General features: G+C 44.5%; 1 protein-coding gene across 4 annotated transcripts in view, besides 2 other annotated features; it reads right to left on the bottom strand.

The window, feature by feature from the left end:
• The window catches only part of NCOA3 (nuclear receptor coactivator 3), a 154,986-nt gene that overhangs the window by 118,947 nt on the left and 8,438 nt on the right, over window positions 1–27,601 (bottom strand). The window lies entirely within an intron of this gene.
• Window positions 7,983–8,483: an enhancer, noted in NCBI's record as "H3K4me1 hESC enhancer chr20:46158187-46158687 (GRCh37/hg19 assembly coordinates)". NCBI's record gives its function as "activates a minimal SCP1, AML or CMV promoter by ChIP-STARR-seq in primed H9 embryonic stem cells {active_cell/tissue: H9 hESC(primed)}" and the evidence as "EXISTENCE:reporter gene assay evidence [ECO:0000049][PMID:30033119]".
• Window positions 13,140–13,907: an enhancer, noted in NCBI's record as "H3K27ac hESC enhancer chr20:46152763-46153530 (GRCh37/hg19 assembly coordinates)". NCBI's record gives its function as "activates a minimal SCP1, AML or CMV promoter by ChIP-STARR-seq in naive H9 embryonic stem cells {active_cell/tissue: H9 hESC(naive)}" and the evidence as "EXISTENCE:reporter gene assay evidence [ECO:0000049][PMID:30033119]".

Below are 27,601 nucleotides of genomic sequence, written 5' to 3'. Positions count from 1 at the left end.
CCTAGGAGAAAGAGCAAAGCTCTGTCTCAAACAAACAAACAAACAGCCAGGCACAGTGGCTCATGCCTGTAATCCTAGCACTTTGGGAGGCCGAGGCGGGCAGATCACAACCAGGTCAGGAGATCAAGACCATCCTGGCTAACACAGTGAAACCCAATCTCTACTAAAAGTAGAAAAAATTAGCCGGGTGTGGTGACAAGGACCTGTAGTCCCAGATACTCAGGAGGCTGAGGCAGGAGAATCACTTGAACCTGGGAGGCAGAGGTTCCAGTGAGCTGAGATCGTGCCACCTGCACTCCAGCTTGGGCGACAGAGCAAGACTCCATCTCAAAAAAAAAAAAAACCCTATGTAAACCCCTTGGTTTTTATAGGTGGTCATTTGTTGAACTAGCTAATTTGGCAGTTTTACATTTTCTTTCCTAGCAGAATATAAAATAGAACAGGTGCAATGGCTCACACCTGTTTTCCCAACACTTCCCCCCCCCACCCCCGCCGATTATCACAAAAATAAAAGTTTGAGTTACATTCTATAACCTTTCTATAGAAAAACACTCCATTAAGAGGTAGAAGTGATGACCACAGGCAAAAGTAAATTACACTCAATTTACTTCTCTGATAAGTTCTTTACAACGCTACAAGTAAAGAACGTAACTGAAAAGCACTACTTTTACCAACTTTCCTTCTCCTTGTCTAAAAGATTTAGTCCCTTCCAGACCAAGGAAATGTAGAGAACTCAGTTGTATATGGATAGATAGCATATCCTCTAAACCAGACAGCATCTATAAATATGAAGAACTTCTTTGCTTAAAACAAAACAGGCCGGGCGCGGTGGCTCACGCCTGTAATCCCAGCACTTTAGGAGGCCGAGGTGGATGGATCACAAGGTCAGGAGTTTGAGACCAGCCTGACCAACATGGTGAAACCCCGTCTCTACTAAAAATACAAAAAAAAAAAATTAGCCGGGCATGGTGGCGCACACCTGTAATCCCAGCTACTCAGGAGGCTGAGGCAGGAGAATTGCTTGAATCCAGGAGGCGGAGGTTGCAGTGAGCCGAGATTGCACTACTGCACTCCAGCCTGAGTGAAAAAGCAAGACTGTCTCAAAAAAAAAAAAAAAAAAGAAAAAAACAGTGAGGCTGGGCACAATGGCTTCATACCTGTAATCCCAGCATTTTAGGAGGCCCATGCAGGAGGATGGCTTGAAACCAGGAGTTTGGGATCAGCCTGGGCAACAAAGTGAGACTCATCTCTATTTTAAAAACAAATAAATAAGAACTCAAAGCACAGATATCAATCATCACTTAATAAAGAGGCAAAGAGCCCCTACAAGCTTTAGAATGACAAAGGCATGACAACAATTTGTTTTGCAGTAAATGATAATACATTATTTTCCTGTAAAGGAGACAAAATGTGTATAGGATATATTGTCTGCACCAAAAAATAAGCTCCTTTTTGGGCAGGGACCTTTTCTTGCAAAACTTTCTATCTCCTAGGATGCTTTGCATATACCAGGTAAGCATTAACATTCACTGGCCGGATAGGGGGCTCATGCCAGTAATTCCAACACTTTGGGAGGCCAAGGAAGGAGGATCACTTGAGGTGTGGACAATGTGGCAAGACACTCTCTACAAAAAAATTTTATCATATTAGCTGGGCATGTAGGTGCACACCTGTAGTCTTGATATGGGAGAAGGGCAGGGAAGTAAGTGCTGGGTAGAGATGAGTAGGGTACATGGTGAGTGCTCCACCCTCGGGCCTGTGCTCACGGACCTAAGTGAGAACAAGCATTTCTGTTTACGCACCCAAAAAGTTGCCTTTTGGCCTGCCATGCCCCCCTATCTTGTGCTCATATAAGCCCAGGACCTTAAGCAGACACACACACAAGCGGCTGGACATCGAGAGGAACAGAGGAGCAGAACAGCACACTGACAGACACCAGCAGCGCCAGCCAGCCATCTACATTTAAGTTGATGCAGAATTTGATAGGGGGTGGTCGGAGTAGAGTCCAGCTGCTGGGCAGCCCAGCTCCAGGGGAAGATCACCTTCCCTCTCCATCCCTCTTATGGCTCCCCATCCATCTGCTGAGAGCTACTTCCACCATTCAATAAAACCTTGCACTCGGCCGGGCGCAGTGGCTCATACCTGTAATCCCAGCACTTTGGGAGGCTGAGATGGGCGGATCACAAGGTCAGGAGATCAAGACCATCTTGGCCAACATGGTGAAACCTCATCTCTATTAAAAATACAAAAATTAGCCAGATGTGGTGGTGCATGCCTGTAATCCCAGCTACTCGGGAGGCTGAGGCAGGAGAGTCACTTGAACCTGGGAGGAGGAGGCTGCAGTGAGCCGAGATTGCGCCACTGCACCCCAGCCTGGCAACAGAGTGAGACTCGGTCTCAAAAAAAAAAAGCAAAAAAACCTTGCACTCATTCTCCAAGTCCGTGTGTGATCCGATCTTTCCAGCACACTAGGGCAAGAACCTGGGATACAGAGAGCCCTCTATCCTTGCGATAAGGCAGAGAGTGTAACTCAGCTGATTGGCACAAGCCACCTGTAGACCACAAAACTGAAAGAGCACACTGTAACACACGGCCACTGGGGCTTCAGGAGCTGGAAACACTCAACCCTAGATGCTGCTATGGAGTCAAAGCCCAAAAACACTCCTCACGACCTGTCCGTCTGCATGCTCCCCCTAGGGGTTTGGGCAGCGAGGCACGGAAGAAGTGAGCCTAGCTACTTAGGAGGCTGAGGTGGGAAAATTCCTTGAGCCCAGGAGTTTGAGGCTGCAGTGAGCCATGATTGTGCCACTGCACTACTGCACTCAAGTCTGGCAAGAAAGCAAGACCCTGACTCAAAAACTAAGAATAATAATAACGCTAATTATTTAAAAAGAAAAAAAAAAAAACAAGCCTGGGCAACACAGCCAGACCTTGTAATGATTCTTACACTGGATATAAGGAAAATAACTATCCAAACACCTTTTTTTATAAATTAAGAAAAAAAAAAGAGAGAGATGGAGTCTCACTCTGTCACCCACGCTATAGTGCAATGGCATGATCTCTACTCACTGCAACTTCCATTTCCCAGGCTCAACCGATCCTCCCACCTCAGCCACCCAACAGCTGGGACTACAGGTGCACGCCACCACACCCAGACAATTTTTTGGATTTTTGGTAGAGATGGGGTTTCGCCACGTTGCCCAGACTGCTCTTGAACTCCTAAGCTCAAGTGATCTGCCTGCCTCAGCCTCCCAAAGTGCTGGGGTTACAGGTGTGAACCAGCTCATCTGGCCCAAACACATTCTCAAAAGATGTCAGTAATCTAAAGTAAAAGCAGACAGTTACTTTGAGGTTTTTTCATATCTTATTCTTAAGCCTGAAAAACATACAATAAATAGACATTTTCTGAACGTCCACAACGTACTCAGAAAGTTACAGGTCCCTGAAAAGACTCAAATTCAGCATGATCCAGTAAAAGGATGCTCACAACCCAGTTAGGGAGACTAATGCTAGTGAAACACTTGTTATATATAGCATCTTGTGGTGGGTACCAAGTACCAAGTTGGACAGCACAAACTAGAAGCCTGGTGAAAGAAATAATCACAAGTTCATGCTTTGGTTTCTCTATAGAGCAAATAAATCTTTTTTTTTTTTTTTTTAAAGAATCCCAAGTTCAAATGGACAGGAAGGACACAATAAAAGAGCCTTGGATGGGTAGTTTGACAAGAAAATGAAGCCAAACAATTCTAGTTGTTCAAGCCAAAAACTTTTGAATTATGCTTGATTCTTCTCTTCCCTCTTCACCCCCCGCCCCCCCCACTGAAACCATCACAAAATCCTGTTGGCTCTACCTTCAAAAGAAGATATATACAATCTGACCACTTCTTATCACCTCTCTTGCCATAATCATAGTCTAAACCAACATGGATTACTCTAACAGCCTTCTAATAGGTCATCCTGGGTTTTTTGTGTTTTGTTTTTTCGTTTGTTTTTGTTTTTGGAGACAGGGTCTTGCTCTGTTGCCCAGGCTGGAGTACAGTGGCATAGCCACAGCTCACGGCAGCCTCAACCTCCTGGGTTCAAGCAATCCTCCCAGCTCAGCCTCCCCAGTAAGCTAGGACCACAGGCACCTGCCACCATGCTGGGCTAATTTCTGCATTTTTTGTAGAGATAGGATCTATGTTGCTCAGGCTGGTCTCAAACTCCTGGGCTCAAGAAATCCACCCTCCTCGACCTCTCAAAGTGCTAGGGTTACAAGTGTGAGCCAGTGCACCTGGCCTAGCTCTCCCTGCTTCTACCCTTGCACTCTTACAGGCTACTCTTCACATGACTGCTGGAGGGTCTTATGAAGACCCTGATAGAGTTCATTTAATCTCTGCTAAACCCATATACTGTATAAGGCACTGTGTATGTGTAAAAGAACAAAGAAAAAAAGACTGGAAAGATATACATACAAAATCTATTAATAATGGATGATGCGGTTGCTAGTAATCCTTATTTTTTTGTACTTTTCTGGATTTTCCATGTTTTCCACATGAACATGAATTAATCACCTTTACAACCAAAGAAAAAAGAAATGCTTTAATTTGAAGGGGAAAAAGAAAAAAAAAAATCAATGATCTTTTTTTTTTTTTTTTTTTTGAGACGGAACCTGGCTCTGTCACCTAGACTGGAATGCAGTGGTGTGTTCTCAGCTCACTGCAACCTCCGCCTCCCAAATTCAAATGATTCTCCTGCCTCAGCCTCCTGAGTAGCTGGGATTACAGAGGTGCCTGCCACCACGCCCGGTTAATTTTTTTTTTTTTTTTTTTTTTTTTTTTTGAGACAGAGTCTTGCTCTGTTGCCCAAGCTGGAGTGCAATGGCACAATCCTGGCTCACTGCAACCTCCGTCTCCCAGATTCAAGCAATTCTCTGCCTCAGCCTCCCGAGTAGCTGGGATTACAGGCGCCCGCCACCACGTGTGGCTAATTTTTTTGTATTTGTAGTACAGACGGGGTTTCACCATGTTGGCCAGGCTGGTCTCAAACTTCTGACCTCAAGTGATCCGCCCGCCTCAGCCTCCCAAAGTGCTGGGATTACAGGTGTGAGCCACCGTGCCCAGCCAAATGATCTTTTTGGAATAACCAAAAATACAATTAAAAAATCTGCAGGAAGCCAGGTATGATAGCTCACACCTATAATGCCAATACTTTGGGAAGCTGAGGTGGGACTATTGCTTCATGTCAGGAGTTCAAGACTAGACTAGGCAGCAAAAAAGACCTGTCTCTACAAGAAAAAAAAATTTTTTTAATTAGCTGCACGTCTTAACACTCACCTGTAGGCCAAGCTACCCATGAGGCTGAGGTGGGAGCCCAGCAGTTCTAGACCAGCCTGGGCCTGGGCAATATAATGAGATCCCATCTCAAAAAGAAAATAATGGAAACCATGCATTTATATGCTATTATGCTATTTTTTAAAAAATGAATTTTTTTTAAAGTTGAAGTCCTTACAACTGTCTGCAAGGCCTCACTGTTACCTCTCAGATTTCTCTTGCTACTTACGTCTTTGTTCACTGTCCTCCAAACACTGTGCTCCAAAACACTGGTCACCTTGCTGTTCTTCAAATTCACTAAGAATGCTCCTAACAAAGGGCCTTTCCACTGGTAGTTCCCTCTAAACAGAAAGCTCCCCATCCCAACCTTACCCCAACCCAATATTCTCAGGGCTTACTTACTTCCTGGTGTCCTTGTTTAAGTATCACTTACTTAGCAAAACTTACCATGATATCTAAAACGTAAACCCTGCAACACACACACACACACACACACACACACAAGTCCCCCCCTACAAAGTTTTATTTTTTTTCCGTAACCTTTCTAGTCACTGGTATATTCCTAACATCTAAGGAATAGGCAACACATGGCTAGCACTCAATAAATTTTTGCAGAATAAATTAAAGCATGGAAGAAGAAATGAAAGTTAAAGGATTTTGGAGGGTGTGAGGATGTACACGTTTGAGGGGTCAAGGACTAAACAAAAATCAATCTGACAGGAGCAGAGAACACACGCAGTAAAGAAGCTTCCAAAGGTAAAGAAAAGACCTTGGTTAACAGTGAGAAACCAGAAAAAGTGAGGGACCTGAAGGATGGAAAGTTGACAGAGGTAAAAAGGTTACAAGCCAGACGGAAATTTAGGCTGAGGGAAGGGATAAGACAGTTGCAGACTGGAGGAAAGCTGAGAAGGGGAAGTGCATGAAGAGGTCAAGAGAAAAGTTATAGATACAGGAAAGGTCAAGAGGAAGGATGAGACTGTACAAGGGAGGAGCAGATCACAGGGAAGGGATGGAGAACACTGTTATGTCACAACATTATTCTTGCTCAAATCTAGCCCAACAGTCCAGAAGAGATATACTTCTGCATTAATATGGCTTTACTTCCAAAATGTCAGTGATGTGCAAGTGTAAAAACACAGAAAGATATCTGTAATACATCTGTTTCATCACTTTGAACCCTTAAATTCCTCTCTGCAAAAGTGCAGTTTAAAGGTTCATTTATATATCTTGAATTCCCCAATTTCTTTTTGTTTGTTTGTTTGTTTGTTTGTTTGAGATAGTCTCGCTCCGTCGCCCAGGCTGGAGTACAGTGGCACAATCTCGGCTCACTGCATGCAGCCTCTGCCTCCTGAGTTCAAGCGATTCTTCTGCCTCAGCCTCCCGAGTAGCTGGGATTACAAGTGACCACCACCAAACCCGGTTAATTTTTGTATTTTTAGTAGAGACAGGGCTTCACCACGTTGGCCAGGCTGATCTTGAACTCCTTACCTCAAGTGATCTGCCTGCCCTCAGTCTCCCAAAGTACTGGGATTACAGGTGTGAGCCACCGCACCCAGCCAAATTCCTCAATTTTATTCCTTAATACCAATGTTAGGCATTAGCCATGGAAGAGATGAAAGATGAAACAGGGTAGATAATTACAATGTATTTGTAATCTACTCTTCACCCTACTGCTACGCCAGTTTACAGATCTAGGAAACCTGGACTTACATCATTAGAAAAGTTGGATAATAACACCTTGTTTGCCTTTAAATTTCAAGGAGCCAAACAAAAACACAGCATCAATTTTAATATAAAGTCTACTGACATTTTAAAAGATTAACAGGAACCTAAAATAGTTAAAATTGTTGGCCAGGCGCAGTGGCCCACGCCTGTAATCCCAGCACTTTGAGAGACCAAGGCAGGTGGATCACTTGAGGGCAAGAGTTTGAGACCAGCCTGACCAACATGGTGAAACCTTGTCTCTACTAAAAAAATACAAAAATTCGCCAGGCATGGTGGCGGGAGCCTGTAATCCCAGCTACTTGGGAGGCTGAGGCAGAAGAAATGCTTGAACCCAGGAGGCGGAGGTTGCAATGAGCCAAGATCGTGCCACGGCCCTACAGCCTGGGTGACAGAGTAAGACTCTGTCTCAAAAAAAAAAAAAAAAAAAGTTAAATCATTAAAAATTTATTGAATCAAACCAAAATACTGAGCTATGCAAATCTTTTTAAAACTTTGTCTCAATTTTCTCCTCTATACAAATCCTTTTAAAACTTTAATTTTCTCATCATTCTTCTGTATGTATAAAACCCTGTAAAATTTTATGTATGCAGCACTGTAACTAAAAGGATGATTATATATCTTCTCAGATACATAATCTACTGAAATAAAACAATCAAAACCATTTGAAACAATCAGGAATTTTGGAATCAGAAGTTTTAAAAATAATTTTACAATTTCAGTGTTTATGGCCACACTATTCAGGCAGAGATGAAACAAACATACAATACCTTAGATGTGAAAATATATGCACTGCTCATTAAAAGCTACATGCCATTTTATCACTGATAAGAGTAGCTTCAAATTCCACTCAGAGTGCAACTGCAGTTGCAATGAATCCAGCAGTATAAGCGTGCCTGCATGTTATTATGGGAAATAGTGGAAAATTTCACAGGCTGACATCCAGAATGTCTGCGGTTCTTCTTCATATTTCTTTCTTCCTGCAAAGCAGTTAATAGACCAGAAATTAAGTTTTTTTAAAAGGTGGAAATTTCCACTGTTTCTTTTTAAACTAGCCTTCTTAAATGTAAGTTGTAAAATGTTCCAAAATTCCAGCATGAGAGAAAGAATAATTCAGACAGGAAAGAATTGTTTATCATCTTCACATTTGGGTGAGGGGACTGTTAAATAAATTGAGGTAAGGCCAGGAGCAGTGGCTCACGCCTGTAATCACAACACTTTGAGAGGTTGAGCCGGTGGATCACTTGAGGTCAGAGTTCGAGACCAGCCCAGCCAACATGGCAAAACTCCACCTCTACTAAAAATACAAAAATTAGCCAGGTGTGGTGGCATGCGCTTGTGGTCCCAGCTACTCGGGAGGCTGAGGCGCAAGAATCACTTGAACCCAGGAGATGGAGGCTGCAGTGAGCCAAGATCACACCACTGCACTCCAGCCTGGGCGACAAAGACTCTGTCTCAAAAAAGTTTTTTAGATGCTGGGCACGGCGGCTCATGCCTGTAATCCTAGCACGTTGGGAGGCCAAGGTGGGTGGATCACCTGAGATCAGGAGTTAGAGACCAGCCTGGCCAACATGGTGAAACCTCATCTCTACTAAAAATACAAAAATTAGCTGGGCATGGTGGTGCCTGCAATCCCAGCTACTTGGGAGGCTGAAGCAGGAGAATCGCTTGAACCCAAAAGGTAGAGGTTGCAGTGCTGAGATGCACTCCAGCCTGGGGGACTAGAGTGAAACTCCATCTCAAAAAAAAAAAAAGAAAAAAAATTTTTTTAAATAAATAAATAAATTGAGTTGAGTATCACCCTGAGTAAGAAAAAAAAGTGTCCAGCCAGGCACAGTGGCTCACGCCTGTAATCCCAGCACTCTGGGAGGCCAAGGCGGGTGGATCACCCGAGGTCGGGAGTTCGAGACCAGCCTGACCAACGTGGAGAAACCCCCTTCTCTACTAAAAATACAAAATTAGCTGGACGTGGTGGCTGTAATTCCAGCTACTTGGGAGGCTGAGGCACAAGAATTGCTTGAACCCAGGAAGCGGAGGTTGCAGTGAGCTAAGATCACACCATTGCACTTCAGCCTGGGCAACAAAAGCGAAACTCCGTTTCAAAAAGAAAAAGAAAAAAAAGTGTCCAGGTAGATACTTAGGTAATATAGTGTTACAATAATTTAATATAATTGCTAAATGTGACAAATATCACATTGTAAAGCTGATTTTTTTTTCTCATCAGCTTACACAGCAAGCATTCAAAACCTAATTCAAGTCAGTAGAACAGTTACGCATAGAAAGAACAAAAAGACAAGACAGTATGTGTATATACTTGATGCAAAAGTAATATATTGTATACTAATAGAGGTAAGCCATAAAGATTGGGTTTTTCAGTGAGGGTTAGAGAGGGAACAATGGCAAAAGCTTATAGGCAAGATTAAGTGTTTTTTTATTTTGGCAACTTTTCATTAGGTTTATACCAGACCAATATATTCATAGTTTTTCATTTTAGTTAGTAATAATAAATAATGAAACAGACAAGGAATTATTTATTCATTTTTATTAGATAAAAAGATGAAGCTCTAGGCCATTTAAAAGTATTTAACATAGTTAAGTACAGTAGACAATTTACTATGTTTAAGAATGTAAATGTTCCGGATTAACAATCTAGGTTTTTCTTTCCCTATATATGGATTAAAGAATGCAGCTTATAGTATATGTTAGCATAACTGTTATTTTGAGCTTTAAAACACTTGTTATTCCTCAAAATATACATATGACCAAGAAATGGAGCATTACTACAGAGACTCAGCTGATCAATTAGAATTGTACCAACAAAGCCTGGGAGAAAATATCTGCAAACCATATCTAATAAAAGATGGATATCGAGAACATTTAAAAAAATGAGTTTTTTTCCTAAGAACTCAGTTTTTTCTAAGAATTCAGTAACAGAAAAGCAACCTGATTTTCAAAACAGAAGGGGGAGGAGAAAAGAAAAAGGAAAGGAAAAGGAGGCAAAAGATTTGAACAGACACTTCACCAAAGAAGCTGAATGACATTTCAAATTAAAATCACAATGGGATACCACTACATATCTACCAGAATGGCTAAAACATAGGAGAATATTAATACCAAGTGTTGGTGAGGTTACAAAACTGAAATTTGGCTATACTGCTGGTGAGAACACAAAATGGAACAGACAGGTAAACAGTTTTACAGTTCCTTATAAAGTTAAACATACATTTACCATATGATCCAGCAATTCCACCTCCTAGATATTTGTCCAAGAAAATGAAACCTTCTGCCCACGCTAAGGTTTGTATTCAAATGTTCACAGCGGCTCTATTCATAATAGCTAAGAAATGTTGCTCAACTGGTAAATAAACAAACTGCCCATATGTATTGTCTATATACTATATACATACTCAGAAACAAAATAAGAACTCATATATGCAACAACATGAATGAATCTCAGGGAATTAGACTAAGCAAAAGAAGTATGACACAACAACAGCAACAAAATATACGTAAAGAAAAAAAAGAAGCTGACACAACATACTTTATGATTACATGGGATTTATATGAAATTCTAGAAACAATACTATACTAATACAAAGCAGATCAGCAGACCCATAACATCTTAATATTCACCCCGAACACTGAGAACAAAACAAAGATGTCTACTCAACAATGTACTAGAAGTACTCGCCATAACAATAGAGCAAGAAAAAAAAGGTATGCTGACTGGAAGGGAAGGAATTAAACTGTCTTTATTCACAGACATGATCACCTATATATACAATCCTAAGCAAACTACATAAAAGCTACTAAAATTAATTTAGCAAAGTTATAATATATTAGGCAAAAATACAAAAATCAACTGTATTGCTATATACTAAGAATAAATTATTCAAATTGAAATCTAAAATCCAATACTATTTATAATCTCATTAAAAAATATGGAACTGGCTGGATGTGGTGGTTCATGCCTGTAATCCCAGCACTTTGGGAGGCCGAGGCAGGTGGATCACCTGAGGTCAGGAGTTCAAGACCAGCCTAGCCAACATGGTAAAGCCCTATCTCTACTAAAAATACAAAAATTCTCCCTCTCCCCTCCCCTCTCCCCTCTCTCCCCATGGTCTCCCTCTCCCTCTCTTTCCACGGTCTCCCTCTGATGCCGAGCCGAAGCTGGACGGTACTGCTGCCATCTCGGCTTACTGCAACCTCCCTGCCTGATTCTCCTGCCTCAGCTTGCCAAGTGCCTGCGATTGCAGGCGTGTGCCACCACGCCTGACTGGTTTTCGTATTTTTTTGGTGGAGACGGGGTTTCGCTGTGTTGGCCGGGCTAGTCTCCAGCTCCTAACCACAAGTGATCCGCCAGCCTCGGCCTCCCGAGGTGCAGGGATTGCAGACGGAGTCTCGTTCACTCAGTGCTCAATGGTGCCCAGGCTGGAGTGCAGTGGCGTGATCTCGGCTCGCTACAACCTCCACCTCCCAGCAGCCTGCCTTGGCCTCCCAAAGTGCCGAGATTGCAGCCTCTGCCCGGCCGCCACCCCGTCTGGGAAGTGAGGAGCATCTCCGCCTGGCCGCCCATCGTCTGGGATGTGAGGAGCCCCTCTGCCTGGCTGCCCAGTCTGGAAAGTGAGGAGCGTCTCTGCCCGGCCACCATGCCATCTAGGAAGTGAGGAGCGCCTCTTCCCGGCCGCCATCACATCTGGGAAGTGAGGAGCGTCTCTGCCCGGCCGCCCATCGTCTGAGATGTGGGGAGCACCTCTGCCCTGCCGCCCCGTCCGGGATGTGAGGAGCGTCTCTGCCCGGCCACCCCGTCTGAGAAGTGAGGAGACCCTCTGCCTGGCAACCGCCCCGTCTGAGAAGTGAGGAGCCCCTCCGCCCAGCAGCCACCCCGTCTGGGAAGTGAGGAGCGTCTCCGCCCAGCAGCCACCTTGTCCGGGAGGGAGGTGGGGGGGTCAGCCCCCCGCCCGGCCAGCCGCCCCATCCGGGAGGGAGGTGGGGGGGTCAGCCCCCCGCCCGGCCAGCCGCCCCATCCGGGAAGTGAGGGGCACCTCTGCCCGGCCGCCCCTACTGGGAAGTGAGGAGCCCCTCTGCCCGGCCAGCCGCCCCGTCTGGGAGGGAGGTGGGGGGGGTCAGCCCCCCGCCCGGCCAGCCGCCCCCTCCGGGATGGAGGTGGGGGGGTCAGCCCCCCGCCCGGCCAGCCGCCCCGTCCGGGAGGGAGGTGGGGGGGGTCAGCCCCCCCGTCCGGCCAGCCGCCCCGTCCGGGAGGGAGGTGGGGGGGTCAGCCCCCCGCCCGGCCAGCCGCCCCGTCCAGGAGGGAGGTGGGGGGGGTCAGCCCCCCGTCCGGCCAGCCGCCCCGTCCAGGAGGTGAGGGGCGCCTCTGCCCGGCCGCCCCTATTGGGAAGTGAGGAGCCCCTCTGCCCGGCCACCACCCCGTCTGGGAGGTGTACCCAACAGCTCATTGAGAACGGGCCATGATGACAATGGCGGTTTTGTGGAATAGAAAGGGGGGAAAGGTGGGGAAAAGATTGAGAAATCGGATGGTTGCCGTGTCTGTGTAGAAAGAGGTAGACATGGGAGACTTTTCATTTTGTTCTGTACTAAGAAAAATTCTTCTGCCTTGGGATCCTGTTGATCGGTGACCTTACCCCCAACCCTGTGCTCTCTGAAACATGTGCTGTGTCCACTCAGGGTTGAATGGATTAAGGGCGGTGCAAGATGTGCTTTGTTAAACAGATGCTTGAAGGCAGCATGCTCCTTAAGAGTCATCACCACTCCCTAATCTCAAGTACCCAGGGACACAAACACTGCGGAAGGCCGCAGGGTCCTCTGCCTAGGAAAACCAGAGACCTTTGTTCACTTGTTTATCTGCTGACCTTCCCTCCACTATTGTCCTGTGACCCTGCCAAATCCCCCTCTGCGAGAAACACCCAAGAATGATCAATAAAAAGAAAAAAGAAAAAAATAAATAAATAAATAAAATAAAATAGAAATACAAAAATTAGCTGGACATGGTAGTACATGCCTGTAATCCCAGCTACTGGGGAGGCTGCAGCAGGAGAATGAGGCAGAGGTTGCAGGGAGCCGAGATTGTGCCACTGCACTCCAGCCTGGGCAACAGAGCAAGACTCCATCTCAAAAAATATATATATATGGAACTTACTGATAAATCTGACAGAAGCTTTATAAGATCTGTATACTGGGGGGACCTCCTCTTTTGGCTTTGGAGCCCCCTCCCTCTGTCTCTGTACCAGGGAGCTTCCTCTTTCTGTCTTCTCCCTTCACTTGTCCCTTCACTTCTTATCTATTAAACCTTCTGCTCCTTAAAACCACTCCACGTGTGCCCAAGTCATTTTATCTAAACTGGCATGAGGACCAAGAACCCTGGTGTTCCCCCACTCATTAGAGCCGTATCATTTTGGTGCATGGGCCAGGAAAGGAAATTCAACCATCAGAGTGGTGGGTATGGAATGGATTTCAACTTTAAATCTGTCCTTTAATTTCAAGGCTCTCTTCCAGCTACCCTGTCGCCAAACTTTCTTTCTCTTTCTATCCTCGGTCTCTTACCCTCTCTCCGTGTGTCTAACATGCAGGAGTCTTTACAGTTCAGGGAAACAGGTATGTTAGAAAAGATTGTGAATCACGGCAGGCAGTAATTCAATAAATGTCTCTCTCTCTCTACATTCTGGCAAACACATGGTATTCCTAAGCCACCTAGTAGAAATCAGGCTGTAGGCCTCTTCTGGGAACAGGAAGTTTCTGCTTTTAACAGGAGTAAAATGTCTTCCGTAGACAAATTTTTGTCTCAATATTGTCCCACTGACAGGAAAATGACCATTCGGTTCCTACATTCCTTTAAGCCATCTATTCTGGCTCCTATTAAGATGGTACTTAATTAGTAAGGCGATTTTAAGTTCAGAAGTTAACCGGAACCGTTCTTCTATGGGTAAATGCTTTAGCATGGGCTATGAAAATACCACACTTGTGGGAATTGCTGTCCTCACTCTACTATTTGCAATAGGGTTATACATGGTAGCACCTTCTAACTGAAATATTAGAGAGTTTCCACTGCTGTAATATTTTGCTTAATTATTATCCTTATAGCAGGGATAATAGTTGACAAAAAGGAAGCATGAAAGTTTCACTATCGCTGAGTCCGCTAGGACTTTTTATTGGGTTTAGTAAAGCAGTTTTAAACGAAACATGCTGCTTTGGGATTAACACCTCTAGTAAAGTAGAGGAAAATCTACAGGTACTTAAAAATCAAAATTATTGACAGGCTCAGGGAAAATGCCAGATTCAGCTCCAAGTGGCTACAACCCCTCTTTAATAAATTCCAGTCTTCTTTATGGAATTGGTTAACCCCTTTACTAAGCACTCTCTTGCTTATACGTCTTGTACTAATATTTGGACCCCGTATAGTTAATACTATCACTCGAAATATTTCTTCTCGCCTAGAAGCAATCAAACTCCAAATGGTGCCATAAACTGAACCACACATGGACAGGCCAGCCATTCCTCCGAAGACCCTTGGATCAACCCCAGAAGGAGCCCTAGCTGCTGTTTCCCATTCCACGCCCCTTTTCAGCAGGAAGTAGCCAGAAAGAGTCATCGCCCAAAACCCCCTAACAGTTAGTGTGGCATCTCCACAGGGGATAATGTTATAGGAAAAGGGGTCCTTGGGAAGTTTTCGTGGTTTTTTGTTTTGTTTTGAGACGGAGGCTCGCTCTATCGCCCAGCCTGGAGTGCAGTGGCGCGATCTCGGCTCACTGCAAGCTCCGCCTCCCGGGTTTATGCCATTCTCCTGCCTCAGCCTCCGGAGTAGCTGGGACTACAGGTGTAGGCCACCACGCCTGGCTTTTTGTATTTTTAGTAGAGACGGGGTTTCACTGTGTTAGCCAGGATGGTCTCGATCTCCTGACCTCGTGATCCGCCCACCTCGGCCTCCCAAAGTGCTGGCATTACAGGGGTGAGCCACCGCGCCGGGCTCGTTTTTTTTTTTTTTAAAGCATCTCTGGAAAAGTTTCTCGTAAAGCCTCAGCTCTTAGAGCCAGGCCAACAACCTTTGATATGCAAATGCAGGCCATTAGAAAATGGGTCCACCCAAACATGGAGATTGCCTCAGCCTTCTTGCCCTTTCCCCACAAGTTCCTGGCAACATGGCCTCCCCCACATATCCCCACGTGTGTAGAACATCATAGCGCCCCTGCATTTGCATATTAAAAGGCCAGGGTGGGAGGGTCAGCTTTTTCACGGGCTACGCGAATGATTTGTTGAGTCAAACCAATCCCGAGCCCTATGCAAATCAAACACTGCCTCCTCCAGCCGCTGCATATATACCTGGCTGGTATCTGTGGCAGGTGGGGACTTCCTCTTTTGGTTTTGGAGCCCCCCTCCTTCTGTCTCTGTATGGGGGAGCTTCTTCCGTCTTCTCCCTTTCTTTCTGCCTATTAAACTCTCTCCTTAAAACCACAAAAAAAAAAAAAAAAAAGGGCCGGGCGCTGTGGCTCACGCCTGTAATCCCAGCACTCCCAGCACTTTGCCGACGCGGGCAGATCACGAGGTCAGGAGATCGAGACCATCCTGGCTAACATGGTGAAACCCCGTCTCTACTAAAAATACAAAAAATTAGCCGGGCGTGGTGGCGGGCACCTGTAGTCCCGGCTACTCCGGAGGCTGAGGCAGGAGAATGGCGTGAACCAGTGAGGCGGAGCTTGCAGTGAACCGAGATCGCTCCACTGCACTCCAGCCTAGGAGACAGCAAGACTCCGTCTCAAAAAAAAAAAAAAAAAAAAAAAGATCTGTACAATGGTAACTACAAAACACTGCTAACGGAAACTAAATAAGACCTAAATAAATGAAAAGATATACAATGTGTTCATGGAAGCAAAGGCACAATACTGTTAAGATGTTGATTCTCTCCAAATTGATCAACCGATTCAATGCAATCACAATCAAAATCTCAACAGAAATTTCACAGAAATAAGCTGATTCTAGCAATTATATGGAAATGCAAAGGGCCTAGAATAGCCAAAACAACTTGAAAAGGAATAAAGTTAGAAGAATTACTCTATCTGATTTCAAGACCTCCATAATCTATATGGTATGGTGCCTGAGTGTTGGATATGAGTTCTAAATTTCTCTTCAAAGAATATGTCAGTATGTTCAATTCTTTGCCTTCTACTTTTAAACTTAACTTCCCTGTAGAGCAACCTTTTTTGATTACCTGTTCCACTCTGACTTATTCTGATTACCTGCTCCACCCTGACTCATTGTTCATCTTGACTCATTCCTGTTTCCTGCTCTGCCACAGCCATTTTTCCCGCCAAACCACTCACCCCAACACTTTCTTTAAATTAGCCAATCGGAATTAGCTTAGCCTGTGCAGTCTAACCCTAGCCAATAGGGGAACGACACAGCAGCAGAGGCCACGTGCGTCAGGAATAAGAACCCCTTCTCCTCCCTTGTCCAGGTGTGCGCTCACCATTGCTCCATCTGTGAAGGTGCATCCTTCTATAAGAGTAAATTGCCTTGCTGAGAAAAAAAAAAAGAAAATCTTATATTCGAGTGCTATTTCTTTTGTGGCACCGAAACTTTATACAAATTTGGGGGCTTGCCTGTGATTACATTCCCCTCCGGGGGCGGTCTCTGGTTCTCTCTTGTGAGGAGGTGCACCCCGCCCCCTTGTGGCGGCCTCAGGGGTGACAAATCAGGACCCACGCAGTGCGACGAATAAGCTGAGCTCTCAGCAAGGCGGAAAGAAACTGGCCAGCAACCTAGGTAAAAGATCTTCACATACTGCGGCGACGACTCTGTGCACACACCAAGGAAGGAGAAGCCGTGGGAGCCGGTAGAGTACTTCCTTGGTGGTCAAATTCTGAAGGGCTAAATGTGTATGTGCGTGAATGATCACAAACAACCGTACTTGCGGTGTTGTTCGTGTAGATGATGACAAGTCCTACTGCTGGACAGAGTGAGTGGGTGCCCTCTGCGTTCCATAGCTACCTCATATGGCTTAGGGCAGATCCTGCCGTGGGATTTATACCAGCACACCAACGCTAAGAGGGGCCTAATTCTCCCTCAGGGGAGCAGCCAGAGAGGACAACACAAGTTCAGTGAGCGCAAAGGACCTTCAGAGGGGGAAAGGGAGGAAACAGGTCAGCCTTCCAGGGCAGCAAGGCAAGACACTCCCTAGTTTGAGGGTTTGAGCCTTCCAGGGCAGGCAAGGCAAGACAAGACATCCCTAATTTGAGGGTTTGAGCCTTCCAGGGCAGGCAAGGCAAGACATCCCTGGTTTGAGAGGTTGAGTCTTCCAGGAAAGCCAAGACAAGACACCACTGGTTTGAGGGGTTGAGCCTTCCGCAAATTTCAGGGGGTTGAACCTCACACAAACCTCCGGTAGTAAGGAAAATATTCAGAACTCCCCTTTCCTTTCTTCTCAGGGGAAGAAAGAGTAGCTCCACTCCTGCCGGTTCCTCCCCTAGGGGAAGGGCAAGGAGAGGGGAGAACAGCGGCATAAGTGGCTGGCAGAGGCAGGGAAAGACCAGCAGAGGAAAGAGAGAGAGGCAGAGAGACAAAGAGGGAGTCAAAGAGAGAAAGAGAGAGACAGAGTCAGAGAGAGAAGCAGTAAAGAGAAAACAGTGTACCCTGTTCCTTTAAAAGCCAGGGTAAATTTAAATTTAAAACCTCTAATTGATAATTGAAGGTCTTCTCTGTGACCCTGTAACACTCCAATACCACCTTGTTGTCACTGTAAACAAGGGTGTAGCCCGAAAGCACTGAGGCCACTGACAACCTGTAGCCTTCCTTTTTTTTTTTTTTTTTTTTTTTTTTTTTGGCCAGGCACAGTTGCTCACACCTGTAATCCCAGCACATTGGGAGGCTGAAGCCGGCGGATCACAAGGTCAGGAGTTCGAGACCAGCCTGACCAACATGGTGAAACCCCGGTTCTACTAAAAATACAAATATTAGCCAGGCGTGGTGGTGGGCATCTATATAGTCCCAGCTACTTGGGAGGCTGAGGCAGGAGAATCTCTTGAACCTGGGAGGCAGAGGTTGCAGTGAGCGAGATTGTGCCATTGCACTCCAGCTTGAGCAACACAGCGAGACTCTCTCAAAAAAAAAAATTTTCTGTGGAGACAAGAGTTTTGCCACATTGCCCAAGCTGGTCTTGAACTCCTGGTCTCAGGCAATCCTCCCAAGTGGGCCTCACAAAGTGCTAGAATTACAGGTGTGTGCCACCATGCCTGGCTCCAAATTTCTTAACCTGATATTCAGTTCTTAATCACCGTCTTTTTATCAGTCTTTCAGACTAATTTCCCTTGGTTTCAGACATACTGTTTTTTCTCCATCTTCTCCCTTGTTTCTCCACTGCTTTCTAGTCTAGTTGTTGGGCCCATCTCAGGTACCATCTAATGTAGGTAAATTACCAGAACACCAAAACTAAAAATATCATTTTTTTTTTTTGAGATGGAGTCTCGCTCTGTCACCCAGGCTGGAGTACAATGGTGCAGTCTTGACTCACTGTAGTCTCGGCCTCCCAGGTTCAAGCAATTCTCCGGCCTCAGCCTCCTGAGTAACTGGGACTACAGGCACACGCCACCACGCCTGGCTTTTCATATTTTTAGTAGAGACAGCATTTCACCATGTTAGCCAGGGTGGTCTTGATCTTCTGACCTCAAGTGATCCACCCGCCTCGGCCTCCCAAAGTGCTGAGATTACAGGCGTGACCCACCGTGCCTGGCTTTTTCTTTTTTTTTTTTGAGATGGAGTCTCGCTCTGTCACCCAGTGTGGAGTGCAGTGGCACAATCTCGGCTCACTGCAACCTCCACTTCCCAGGTTCAAGCGATTCTCCTGCCTCGGCCTCCTGAGTAGCTGGGATTACAGGTGCCCGTCACCACGCCCACCTAATTTTTGTATTTTTAGTAGAGATGAGGTTTCACCATGTTGGCCAGGTTGGTTGCAAACTCCTGACCTCAAGTGATCCACCCACCTCGGCCTCACAAAGTGCTGGAGTTACAGGCGTGAGCCACCGCACCAGTCATTTCTTAGATGAATCTTAATTGTTCGTGTGCATGTGAGTCAGTACTTCTTGATTGGTAGCGTGGATTCAAATTGTCTATTTCTTGAAGGTAAGGAGTAATCCTTTTATAAGCTTTAAAAATCCTCTATTGGCCAGGCATGGTGGCTCACCCCTGTAATCCCAGCATTTTGGGAGGCCGAGGCAGGTAGATCACCTGAGGTCAGGAGTTCGAGACGAGCCTGACCAACATGGTGAAACCCCATCTCTACTAAAAATACAAAAGTAGCCAGGCTTAGTGGTGCATGCCTGTAATCCCAGCTACTCGGGAGGCTGAGGCAGGAGAATCTCTTGAAAACCCGGGAGGTGGAGGTTGCAGTGAGCCGAGATCATGCCATTGCACTGCAGCCTGGGCAGGCAACAAGAGCGAAACTCTGTCTCAAAAAAAAAAAAAAAACAGAAAAAGAAAATCCTCTATTATTTTTTTCAATTATGTTTCTTTTTTTTTCCCCCAATTTAATTTATTTATTTTGAGGCAGGGTCTCCCTCTGTTTCTCAGGCTGGAGTACAGTGGTGAAATCATGGCTCATTGCAGCCTGGAACTCCTGGACTTAAGCGATCCTCCCACCTCAGTCTCCTGAGTGGCTGGGATTACAGGTGCGCACCACCATGCCCAGCTAATTTTTTTTTTTTGGCAGAGACGGGGTCTCCCTATGTTGCCCAGACTTGTAATGAACTCCTGGACTCAAGCAATTCTCCCACCTCGACCTCCCAGAGTATTAGGATTACAGGTGTGAGCCATCATGGCTGGCCTGGATGTGAAAGTTTTTAGAATTCAACCCTCGAGTCAGTTTTTCTACCTGGAAATGGAGTTAAAATTAAATATTCCTAGGGATTTGCTTGGGACCTGTGTCTCCCTCACAGAGTTGTCCCAGGAAAATCATATCAGCCTTAGAGTACATTCCATGTTTTCTAAATTGCCCTAGGACTGGACGATCCTTCTTTACATCATTTAAATGTTTTTATTCAGTACCACTGTTTTTCAAAGAATTGTGCTAAGTAATGTGACTGTTAGAATCCCTTTGTGATCTAGGAGTTTATAATCTAGTTGAAAAATAAATGTAATTGGCCAGGCGTGGTGGCTCACGCCTGTAATCTCAGCACTTTGGGAGGCCGAGGCAGGCAGATCACCTGAGGTTAGGAGTTCGAGAACAGCCTGGCCAACATGGCAAAAACCCGTCTCTACTAAAAATACAAAAATTAGCCAGGTGTAGTAGCGAGCACCTGTAATCCCAGCTACTAGGGAGGCTGAGGCAGGAGAATCACTTGAACCCGGAAGGCAGAGGTTGTAGTGAGCCAAGATCGTACCACTGCACTCCAGCCTGGGCGACAGAGCAAGACTCCTTCTCAAAAAAAAAAAAAAAAAGAAAAAGAAAAAAGAAAAAAAGAAGAAAATGTAATTGCATCAACATAAGCAGGTGGTTCACAAGTTCAGAGGAAGAAAAGTCCTTTTCAACTGGGATTATTAGCGAATACTTGAAGAAGATGGAATAGATCTAAAGGGAATTAACTGCTGCTTCAGTTTCTTCTCTTTCTCATCTCTTTTTACTCTGTACTGTTTCGTTATAGTAAAAAATATTATAAGGTAATTTTTTTGGGGAGGAGACGGAGTCTCGCTGTCACCCAGGCTGGAGTGCAGTGGTGCTATCTCAGCTCATGGCAACCTCCACCTCCAAGGTTCAAGCAATTCTCCTGCCTCAGCCTCCCGAGTAGCTGGGATTACTGGCATGTGCCACCACGACTGGCTAATTTTTGTATTTTTAGTAGAGATGAGGTTTCACCATGCTGGCTGGTCTCAAACTCCTAACTTCAAGTGATTCATCCGTCTAGGCCTCTCAAAGTGCTGGGATTATAGATGTGAGTCACTGCACCCAGCAAATTTTTTTTTTTTTTTTTTTAAGACAGGGTCTCACTCTTGCCCAGGCTAGAGGGCAGTGGCGTGATCTTGGCTCAATCTCTGCCTCCTCAGTTCAAGCAATTTTCCCACCTCAGCCTCCCGAGCAGCTTGGACTACAGGTGTGTGCCACTATGCCTGGCTAATTTTATTTTTGTACTTTTTTGTAGAGACAGGGTTTTACCATGTTGGCCAGGCTAGTCTTGAACTCCTGACCTCAAATGATATGCCTGCCTCGGCCTCCCAAAGTGCTGGGATTACAGGCTTGAGCCACTGCACCCAGCCTGCTTGACTGCTTGGAACCTTTGTTTTTTATTGTCTAAAATTCGAAACTAAACTTCACATGGAGCTCCCAAAGATTTTCATAATCTGACTATTAATTTTCATTTCAACCACCATCTTTCTAATTCTATGTGTGTATCTTATTTATATGTCAGTTGCTTGATAGTCTAGACCCTTGCTCTGTCTTCTACCCTCTTATTCCAATAAAATTCTCTTCCCTGTGTCCTGATCTATATTTCAGTTCCTATTCCTGGGTAGAAAAGATAAAAGCTGCCATTTATTTTTTAACACTTTATTTTGTTAGAGGCGTTTTAGGTTCACAGCAATATTGAACAGAAGATACAGAGATTTGCCATATACCTCCTGCCCAAACCCATGTGTAGCCTCCCCTATCACCATCCCCCCACCATCTTGATACATTTGTACCTACACTGAGGCATCATTATCATCCAGAGTGTGTAGTTCACATTAGAGTTTACTCCTGGTATCGTGCATTTTATGAGTTTGGAACAATTTATAACAACATGTATCTACCATTATAGTATCTATCATACAGAGTAGTTTCACTACCCTGAGTACTGTGCTCTGTCTACTCATTCTTTCCTCCCCACTAACTCCTGGCAACCACTGATCTTTCTAGTGTTTCCAAAATTTTGCCTTTTCTAAGATGTCACATAGTTAGAATCACACAGTATGTGGCCTTTCCAAATTGGCTTCTTTCACTAAGTGAAAACTTAAAGTTTTCTTCACATCTCTTCATGAATTGATAGCACATTTCTTTTTAGTACTGAATAATATGCCATTGTCTGGATATACCACAGAAAAGCTACCACTTATTGATTGATGATAATATTGGTATTAAGGCTGAGGGCAGTGGCTCACGCCTGTAATCCTAACACATTGGGAAGCTGAGGTGGGCGGACCACTTGAGGCCAGAAGTTCAAGACCAGCCAACATAGTGAAATCCCGTCTCTACTAAAAAATAAAAAATTAGCTGGGAGTGGTGGTGCATGCCTCTAGTCCCAGCTACTCAGTACGCTGAGGCATAAGAATCGCTTAAACCCAGAAGGCAGACTGCAGTGAGCCGAGATCATGCCACTGTACCCCAGCCTGGGTAACAGAGTGACCCAGTGACCTGTCTTAAAAAAAAGAAAAAAAAAAAAAAAAAAGAAAGAAAGAAAAAGCTCGGGTGTGGTGGCTCATGCCTGTATTTCCAGCACTTTGGACTTTGGGAGGCCGAGGGGGGTGGATCACGACATCAGGAGTTCAAGACTAAGACAGTGAAACCCCATCTCTACTAAAAATACCAAAATTAACCAGGCATGGTGGTGCGCGCCTGTAGTCCCAGCTACTGGGGAGGCTGAGGCAGGAGAATTGTTTGAACTCAGGAGGCGGAGGTTGTGGTGAGCGGAGATCGTGCCACTGCACTCCAGGTGGGCAACAGAGCGAGACTCCATCTCAAAAAAAAAAATTTTTTTTAAATATATATATATAGCTATTAAAAGTTACTATTTGTGTGTCTGTCCCTGGGCAGTGTTAAATGCTTAATATACATTATATCATTCATAGTCCCGGTTTTTCAAACCTCTTTTGCTGTAGAATTTTTTTTTTTTAACACAAATGAAATCTTATACAAAACACTATTTAAAATACAAGAGGCTGGGTGTGGTGGCTCATGCCTGTAATCCCAGCACTTTGGGAGGCTGAGGCAAGTGCATCACCTAAAGTCACGAGTTCAAGACCAGCCTGGCCAACATGGCAAAACTCTGTCTCTGCTAAAAATACAAAAATTAGCCAGGCATAGTGGCAGGCACCTGTAATCCCAGCTACTCTGGAGGCGGAGGTTGCAGTGAGCTGAGATTGCACCACTGCTCTTTAGCCTGGGTGACAGAGCAAGACTCTGTCTCAAAAAAAAAAAAAAAAAAAAAGCAAAAAACAAAACAAAACAAACAAACAAAAAAACAGCACACCTGTGATCCCAGCACTTTGGGAGGCCGAGGTGGGCCAGATCACTTGAGGGCAGGAATTTGAGACCAGCCAGGCCAACATGGTGAAACCCAATCTCTACCAAAAATACAAAAAAAAAATTAGGTGGGAATGATGGCACATGCCTATACACCCAGCTACTCCAGAGGCTGAGACATGAGAATCGCTTGAACCTGGGAGGTGGAGATTTCAGTGAGTCAAGATTGTACCACTGCACTGCAGCCTGGGCAACAGAGACCGTCTCAAAAAAAATAAAAAAAGATTTGTTACAAGTTTATTTTTGAAATTTATACTGTTTTTTCAGTTATAAAAGTAGTGAGAATGAGACTGTTGTGATATGTAGAAAATTTGAAATTGGGTTATGAAGAACTGTTATGGACCTAAATCCATCTCTGCCTCTACTTTATTTCTATATTAAGAAAATGTTGATAAATTAAAAAAAAAATTCAAAAAAATAAAAGTAAAAAAATAAAATCTTCTGATACTAGAAAAAAAAAAGAAAATGTTGACTTAAAGAGAGTTGCAAATGGTCTCAGTTAAGAAAATACTTTTTGAAATAAATTACAGGTACACATCAGATCAATTTAAAAGTTATCAGAGGGTATACAGTGGCCGTCCTTTCTTAGCTGCCTCCTTCCCTGCCCTGGAACCATTGTTACCCTAGTCTAGGTACATATACATGCATATAGTTTAAAGTTTTTAAGTTTAAGCATTTCGCCTATATTTTTGGCAAACTTTAAATTGATGTATAATATATTTATGGAAGGGCACAAGTACAGCTTGCTAAATTGTTATAAAATGAACACACCTAAGTAACTGGCACTCAAGAGCCCTGCTTTGCACTGTACATACTTTAAAAATGATCTTGGGGAAGGATTCATATCAGTTTGATTTACAGTTGCTTATAATTTTTTTTTTTTTTTTTTTTTTTTTTGAGACAGAGTCTTGCTCCATCGGGCTGGAGTGTAGTGGCGCGATCTTGGCTCACTGCAACCTTTGCCTCCTGGATTCAAGTGAGTCTCATGTTTCAGCCTCCTGAGTAGCTGGGATTATAGGTGTGTGTCACCACGCCCAGCTAATTTTTGTATTTTTAGTAGAAACCGCATTTTGCCATGTTGGCCAGGCTGGTCTCAAACTCCTGGCCTTGAATGATCTGCTTGCCTCAGCCTCCCAAAGTGCTGAGGTTACAGGCTTGAGCCGCCTCGCCCGGCTAATAGTTGCTTAGAAATTTCTAATAATTACACTGCATTCCATTGTATGGTTATATCATGATTTATTCAGTTTCATATTATTTCAAACAAAACTGGAAGTAAATATCCTCATATGTATTTGATGGTAAGTAAGCAGCTTCTCTGCGTATTTGTGTATAGGGTAGTGTGTGGACCTAAGCTTGTGTTTCTCTTGGGGGGAACCCAGAAGTAGAATGGCTGGGTTATATGCTAAGTGTATAATATTTACAAGTTTATTTTATTTTTTTTAATTTTTTTGAGACAGAGTCTTGCTCTGTTTCCCCAGCTGGAGTGCAGTGGTGGGATCTCGGCTCACTGCAACCTCTGCCTTCTGGGCTCTTCTCATGCCTCAGCTATTCTCATGCCTCAGCCTCCTGAGAAGCTGGGGTTACAGGCACACACCATCACATCTGGCTAATTTTTTGTATTTTTAGTAGAGACCAGGTTTTGCCATGTTGGCCAGGCTGGTCTCAAACTCCTGATCTCAAGTGATCCCCCACCTCAGCCTTCCAAAGTGCTGGGATTACAGGCTTGAGCCACTGCACCCAGCCAATATTTACAAATTTAAAGAAACTGCCCACTGTTTCTCAAAGTGATTGTACCATTTCACATTTCTCCTAGCCATGTATCCACGTATGATACAGTTCTAGTTGTTCCACATCCTTACCAACAAACGGTATGGTCAGTCTTTTTAATGTTACCCCTCATAGTGAGTGTATAGTGGTATCTCATTGTAGTTTTCAGTTTCCCTAATGGCTGATGTTGAGCATCTTTTTTCGTACTTACTTGCCACTGGTGTACCTTTTTTCTGTGAAGTCTCTGTATATATCTTTTGTGTTTTTTTTTTTTTTTTTTTTAGTGAGACAGAGTCTCACTCTGTTGCCACGTTCGAGTGCAGTGGCGCTATGTCGGCACACTGCAACCTTCGCCTGCCGGGTTCAAGCAATTCTCCTGCCTCAACCTCCCGAGTAGCTGGGACTACAGGCATGTGCCACCATGCCCGGCTAATTTTTTATTTTCAGTAGAGACGGTGTCTCACCATGTTGGCCAGGATGGTCTCGATCTCTTGACCTCACGATCCGCCCGCCTCAGCCTCCCAAAGTGCTGGGATTATAGGTGTGAGCTACGGGGTCCAGTCTCTTTTGCCTATTTTTAAGTTGGATTGTTTTTATCTTATTGAGATGTAAATTAGTTATTTTTTCTAGAAGAAAAACTTTTTTTGTGTTTATATTTTGTTTTTTGTAAAAATTATTTTATTATTTCCTATTTTTTTTTCATAGGATGGGGTCTCACTATATTGCCCAGCCTAGTCTTTAACTTCCGGCTTTAAGCAGTCCTCCTGCCTCAGCCTCTCAAAGTATTGATATTATGGGCATGAGCCCCTGCACCCAGCCTGATTTTTTTTAATTTGTATAAATTTATGGGGTACAAGTGTAATTTTGTTACATGCATAGATTGCCTAGTGGTGAAGCCAGGACTTTTAGGGCATCATTTACTCAAATCACATACATTGTACCCATTAAGTAATCTCTCATCATCCCCCTCCTCACCCTTCCTAGTCTCTTGTCTATTATTCCACACAATATGTCCATGTGTAGCATAGTTCCCACTTATTTTATTTTGGAGACGGGCAGATCATGATGCCAGGAGTTCAAGATCAGCCTGGCCAACAAGGTGAAACCCCGTCTCTACTAAAAATACAAAAATTAGCTGGGTCCACGTGGTAGTGCTGCCTGTAACCCCAGCTACTCGGGTGGCTGAGGCAGGAGATTCACTTGAACCGGGGAGGTGGAGGTTGCGGTGATCTGAGATAGCACCAGTGCATTCTAGCCTGGGTGACAGAGCAAGACCGTCTCAAAAAAAAAAAGAAATATATATATATATATATATATATATATATATCTCGAGAGAGATACATATCTCAGCTATATATCTATATAGCCAAGAACACGCCACTGCACTCCAGCCTGGGTGACAAAGAGAGACTCTGTCTCAAAAAAAAAAAAAAAAAAAAAATTAGGCATGGTGGTGGACACGTGTAGTCCCAGCTACTTGGGAGGCAGAGGCAGGAAAACCGCTTGAGCCCTGGTGGTCAAGGCTGCAGTGAACCATGATCATGCCACTGCACTCTGGCCTGGGCAACACAGTGAGACCCCCATCTCAAAAAAAAAAAAAGAAAGAAAGAAAGAAAATGTTTAAATCTTATTCTTCAACATGCTGTACCCTGATGGCCTGGATCAGTAGTAGTCCCTTGCCTCCTCTGAACTTCTCTACAATCTCTATAGGCAAAACCGACTTATCACTGATTGCCTTGTACTGAAGTGATATGAGTACCTGATTGATTGTGCACACTTGGAGGTCACAAACTTTGTTAACTCTCACAGTTCCTTAAATAGTAAAGGCATAATAATCACTGATTAAGTATGTCTGTGCATGGAAGAGTAGGCAACAACAACCAAGCAGCAGCAAATTAAAGATGATTGAAGTTTAAGGCCTCAAGACTTAGAAGAGTGGTATGAAAACTAAGTTTAAGAAAACTCACTATACTGGGCACGATGGCTCACATCTGTAATCCCAGCACTTTGGGAGACCAAGGCAGAAGGATCGCTTGATCCCAAGAGTTCAAGACCAGCCAAAGACACACCTTCTATACAAAACTTAAAAACATCAGCCAGGAGTGGTGACATGTGCCTGTAGTCACAGCTACTGGGAGGCTGCGCTGGGAGGACCGCTTGAGCCCAGTAGGTCAAGGCTGCAGTGAACTGTGATGGTGACACTACACTCCATCCTAGATGACAGAGCAAGACCCTCTCCAAAAATTGAATTAATTTTTAAAAGTCCCATGTGGATGACTATATTGTGATTTGGGGGAAAGAAAAGGGAAACTGAAGGTTACTGGGCAAGTTCATGCTTACAGGTTTGCCAAATCTTAGAACCCATACACTCAAGGCTTCTACCATTCTAGATATGATCGTGTACTTTTTTTTTTTTTTTGAGATGGAGTCTTGCTCTGTCACCCAGGCTGGAGTGCAGTGGCGCGATCTCAGCTCACGGCAACCTCTACCTCCAGGGTTCAAACGATTCTCCTGCCTCAGCCTCCTG

The sequence above is a fragment of the Homo sapiens genome, chromosome 20 (assembly GCF_000001405.40).
Source record: "Homo sapiens chromosome 20, GRCh38.p14 Primary Assembly".
Taxonomy (NCBI): domain Eukaryota; kingdom Metazoa; phylum Chordata; class Mammalia; order Primates; family Hominidae; genus Homo; species Homo sapiens.
This window is presented reverse-complemented; position numbering and strand designations above follow the sequence as displayed.